The following is a 6,099-nucleotide window of genomic DNA, read 5'->3' on the forward strand; positions in this document are numbered from 1 at the left end:
GATGCCTCAGCTGGGCATGGTGGCTCACACCTCTAATCCCAGCAACTCTGGAGGCTGAGGCAAGAGGATTGCTTGAAGTCAGAATCTGAGACAAGTCTGGGTAACACGGCAAGACTCCACCTCTAAAAAAATTTTTTTTAAATAAATACATAGCTGGGCATGGTGGTGTGCAACTGTAGTCCCAGCTACTTGGCAGGCTAAGGCAAGAGGATTGCTTGAGCCCAAGAGTTCGAGGCTGCAGTGAGCTATGACTGCACCACTGCACTCCAGACTGGGTGGCATACTGAGACTCTGTCTCTAAATATATATATATATATATATATATATATATATATATATATATATATATATATATATATATGAAAATAATGCTTCATAAAGTTTGTAAAGTTCTTTCTATGCACCTGATAGTCTAAGCAACTTTTTAAGATAGGCAAGATCATTAATACTGCCAATTTAAGTTTGAATATTCAAGGCACTTTTCCAGCACTTTATACTTATTAAATTATTTAATCTTGTAATGGCCATATGAGGTAGGTATTATTATTGTCCCCCTTTTCCAGCAAAAGAGACTGAAATAGAAAAAAGTTAAGTTGCTTCCCAAGGATATACAACAAGTAAGCTAGCTGGAATTAAAACTCAGATAGTCTGAAAAACTCACACAATCATTGCATCATCATTTTTAGAGGTAAAAATAGACATTAAAGTTTATATAACAAGCTATTAAAGATGCAACTGAATTTAAAACCAAGGTATTAATGATTTGTGGCCTGATGGTCTTCCTTGAGTTACATTCCATTTTTCTTCGGATAATTCCTGACTTGCCAAAAATTACATTCCCCTTGAATATAAGTGCCATCTAGACTGGTCTACACAGAGACTGTGGTAGGCTGGTATACCACAGATATTTCTCTGCACTTGACCACAGTGCTATCTGGAATTTCATGCCCACCCATCTCTGTAGGCTTCAGAATAGAGTCAGCCTGCTCTTGCAAGACTCTTCCCAGATACAAGTTCTCATCTGAGAAGTCTATAGTGGCCAGTTTAATGCTGACCTCAAGGAAGAAGGGGAAAGAGAGTGGTCTTCAGACTTTAAGATTCCAGACCTATCTTCACTTTGGCAAGAAAAAGGAAATTACTAGATGATTGCAAGTATAGGCAATATAGCATTCCTGAAAGCAGCTTGCCCAGTCTCCAATATTTTCCCAAGGATACGTAAGCATGATAGGACAGAAGTGTAGAAGTCTCAAATCTTAAGAAAATAAGATATTGCTCTCTTTAGCTAAAGCTTTGCTGAGCTTTCTTGGTTTACTCCTGTTCAAGCAGTTCTTACAGTTTCTATATAGGATGCTTATTGTATCAGTCAGCTTGTGCTGTGTTATGCTACAGTAACCAGACACCCCCTACCTCCAAATCTTAGTAGCTTACAACAAGAAACAGTTTTCTTTCTTTCTCATTTTACATGTCAATCACAGATTGACTTAGGCTCTTTATCTCAAGCCCATGCGGGCTGAATGAGCAGCCCCTACCTGGGACCTACCAGGCCCCTGGCTGTGAGAAGAAAATGATGTGAAACCACAGAGTGGTTCTTAGAGCTTTTGCTCAGAACTGGCTTCTGACATTTCTGACCACATTTCATTGGCCAAAGCAAGCCTGATGTCAATGGGGAAGGAAAGTTTAATCCTTTATAAGGATGGAGAGTCCCCTAATATTGGGAATGATAATACAATGATCAGACTTACTGAATTACATTATATTAGGCATAAGGAGGCTCCTATCTGAATAAATTAATAGGGTGAAAATACAAGCAAGCTGTAGAAGCTTCAACTAACTCTATAAAAGAAATATTCAAGGAGTCTAAGCATTGAAACTCTTTTCTACTTTTCTCAGCAGTGGCACAGTGAAAAAAATTAAAAGTCATTTCAGGGCATGGTAGTTGACTTGAGAGGGCAGGAAACATAGCCCAGGGAGCTGCTGAGCCCAGAGTGGAATTGCTCCTCCTTCAGCAGCTATAAAGCATGGGCCAGGTCGTACAGCTCCTTATTTAGTAACATTGGCAAAAATCCAGGCTTCATTTATAAGTCACTGCATTGCAGTTCTTTTGGAGTACGTTACCAGGACTTCATAAAGATTGATTGAGTTCTGGGAAGCCATTGGGTTGAAAGTCCAGATGTACATAAATCAAGTTATAGCATCATTTAATTCACAATGTATCTGCCCAAGTCATTTTGGGGTGGAAGTGAAAAGATTTATAGTAAGTCTTATGGGATTTGATGATCTGAAAAGTAAGAGATATTAAATGGGTGATTTAGCTGCAAGAGTTAACTGCAGTAGTTTAAAATTGACTCAAGTCTTCATTGCTACTGGTTTAAAATGCATCTTAAATAATTGGAAGTATATTTTGGGAGCTCTTTAGGGTGAAGAGTTAAACGTGATTTTTGGCAGTCAAAAATAAGATCTGATTTATATTCAGAAAAAACTCATCCATCAATAAAATATATGTCAGCAAACTACTTTATATCTTAAAGCACTGTTCTCTACCACACTTAGTTCAGATCTAAAAACTTTTACATAAATCTGTTCTATGATAAGAACCCAAAGTTCTTGAACTTGATAAAAAGAATTTCTGTGATCCTTTTAGTCTTGAGCCACAAATCAATCTACAATTGAAATCACACTTGCTTTTATGTGGAAGGACATGAAAAGCCACAATCCCAATTCATGCCCTCATGGTCTCTCACTAGCCAGGCACCTGGAGATCCAAATCTGTAGAGTAGGTGAAGTTTGCTATAATCTTCTCTGAGCCCAACTGTTCTGTATTGCTTTCTTTTTTTTGAATTCTTTTTTTTTTTTTTCAATGACAGCCTCCCTCTGTCTCCCAGGATAGAGTGCAGTGAGGACTCCAGTGATCTTCCCACCTCAGCCTCCGGAGTAGCTGGGACTACAAGCATGAGCCACCATGCCCGGCTTATTTTTTTATTTTTTATAGAGACCAGGATCTCACTATGTTTCCCAGGCTGGTCTCAAACTCCTGGAATCAAGTGATTCTCCAGCTTTGGCATCCCGAAGTGGTGGGACTACAGGCTCCTGACACCGGGCCTGGCCTTCAATTTCATGATGTTTCTTAATGCCTCAATTCCCCTTTCCTCTTTTCCTATCTTTTAATCTTTTCTATCTTTCCTTTCAAAATCTATTCTTTAAAAGAAGTTATTTTTAATTAAAATTTACCATCAGGTACCTTAAAGGCTGAGGAAATTTAATCTATTAGCATAGGCAATTGTATGCAAGTATCAGTAGAAAACAAAGTTTTGGCCAAAGGAAGGATGATCTAAAGGGAAATTAAGACAACTGAAAGTGAAAGTGGGATATATTCCTCTCTTTTTAAAATCACACAGTGGAGCATATTTAAAAACAAGTATTCAAAAGGACAGTTGATTAATACGGATGTTACATTTCTGTCTGCTCCTCTGACAATTTTACAGGCATTTTTGATGGAACAAATTCTTAAAGGAACAGAGTTTTCTCCCTCATAATGAAGAGTACTTCATTATGAAAGACTGAACTCAATATTTTTTCCAATTAATACTAATATTTATTTAGTTTTACTTAATGTTCCTGAGAAATGTTGACTCTACATTTGATTTTATTAAATGTTGCATGTGAATTTACTTTCCTTCAATCTTTAAAAATTGCAGTTAGAAAAATCTAGATTCTTTCCCTGCCTTTGTTACTTCTCTAGAAGTACTGTGAAATTAGGGAGTTGAATTTGAGGTAATACTTGAGGGTGTTCAATTCTGAAATTCTCCATTGGTTCTTTTAGTTGAGGACAAGCTTCTTTAGTGAGAAAAATTACTGCCAAATTTATCTCTTTGTTAAATTGGAGCATGTGTGTATTACTTAAGCATAAAGCTAAGTACACTGTATTAACCATTGCAATGCCATTTTCTACTGGCTATTAAAAATTATTATTTAATGTAATATGTGGAAAACTACCCAGTGATTTCTAAAACTGGATCTTAAGTTTAAAAAATGCACTATTGATTACTATAATACATTTTAAAATCTAAATTTAATATCTAAAATGTAGAGTATAATACATTTCATATCTAAAATATAATTACAATTATCTACACTTCCTTTTCATTCTTTTCCTATAGGTGTGTTGTTTTTACATTTTGTCTAAATTACTCTTCTCATTTCATTTGTTTGATTTTTGCTTTCAATTCACCTAGCTAATACACTCTTTAAAAATGTATCATAATTTTTATTCATTGTACATTATGTTTTATGTGTATTTCATTCAATAAATGCATGGACTTGATAATAAAAATTCAGGCTACACCAAAGGGCACAAAATAAAAATATAAAGTCTTCCTCTCTCCCTACAACTGTCCTACTTTCCAAAGAGGACTATGTTTAACATTTTTTAGTTTTGGTTCTTGTGGTGATTAGCTTGGAAATTCTAAACCACTGCTGTTCAATAGAAACATAATGTGAACCATGTTTAATCTGTCTAGTAGCCACATTTTAAAAAGCAAAAAGGAATAGGTGAAAATAATGTTCATGATACATTTTATGTAATCTCATTTATCCACAATGTTATTATTTCACATATAGTCAACATTAAAAAATGAATATTTTAAATTCTATGTTTTATCTTAACTGTATTTTATACTTATAGCACATATTAATTCAGATTAGTTACATTTCAAGTGTTCAATGGCCACATGTGGCTAGTGGCTATCATATTGGACAGTGAAGATCTAGATAATATGCTAAATACATCAAATTTTTTGTTTAGCAATTTTAAACAGTATTTGCTAGTTTCCTGCCAAAAAGATGAAGAATTTAACATCTTGTGCTACCCATTCTATCTTACAAATCTCATTAAATATGTATTTTTAGGTCTCCCATTAGTCTTCTTTATTATTTTGAAAACTATACCTACTCTTCTTTTCTTACACTCGTATTAGACAATATCCTTTGAATTCCAGCTATGCAAGGTGTGGAAACTAATATTCCCTCACTTCTCTCCACCTCTCCCACTATGCCTCCAAACTTTTGTCAAGCTATAATAATTACTTTTAAATTGTTAAGGTTCATAACCTTTTTATTCTGTTCTATCACTTTAATAAATTTAATTTTCTTGTCTTGTTTTAGGTCTCTAGAAATGTAAAACATGTGACAGTATTTGAAATATTATGAGTCTGGCAATTTCATTGTACAATCAAGCAGTGTAATTGAACCCTTTGGAAGTACAATCTCCCACTCTCAATCTGTGCTACTTAAAGAAGAAACGTTGAATATTAAGGACAAATAAATTCTCATTTCCTGTATTCTATCAGTTTCTCAGAATTGTGCTTCAGTTTAGTTTGTTTCATATGAGGATCATGGCTCATTATTCAATGTTGTGGTTTTTCTTGAATTCTCTTATTACCTTTCATTTACCTTGTTAACTAAGATGTATACTGGCCATTTTATTTTTAGATTGTCATGCCTTTTCATCATACCACTTAACATAGGAAAGTGACTGTCTTCTTAAAGACTGTCTCTGGTAGCTCACTAAGTTCCTTTTCTAATTTGAATTTATTGCCTTCTATGTCTGCTGCTGAGCTATGATTCTGGGATTTAATTTCATTGCTCTATTGGATAAATTTGCAGTTTCTTACATGCCAAGTCTTTCCCTTTCAGCAAACACAATAATTTATTGAATTATATTCTCTAGTAACTTTTAAAAAAAACATACACAAGAGAAATAAACTTTCTGAAGCTTTGCATGTCTGAAAATGGCTTTATTTTCCATTTACACTGGACTGGCACATTTTAATTTTCTAAGAAACATCAGATATCTATAATAGCCTTTTATGCTACAAATGCACATTAGTGTGTCTATACCCTGTGGAAATTAAAATCCAAGTGAATCAGTAATTACACAGTTGTGGGATGAAATAAATTCTTGGACTTCTCCCCATTAGAGTCCCCACAGTGAAGCAATATTCCACACTTTACCTTTAGCCACTGTTTTGTACCAGTTGGGAAATCAAAACTTTCATTAAACCAGCCTTCCTGGTAGATACTTGGAAGAATTACAACACTCTT

Source organism: Homo sapiens, chromosome 20, assembly GCF_000001405.40.
Source record: "Homo sapiens chromosome 20, GRCh38.p14 Primary Assembly".
NCBI lineage: Eukaryota > Metazoa > Chordata > Mammalia > Primates > Hominidae > Homo > Homo sapiens.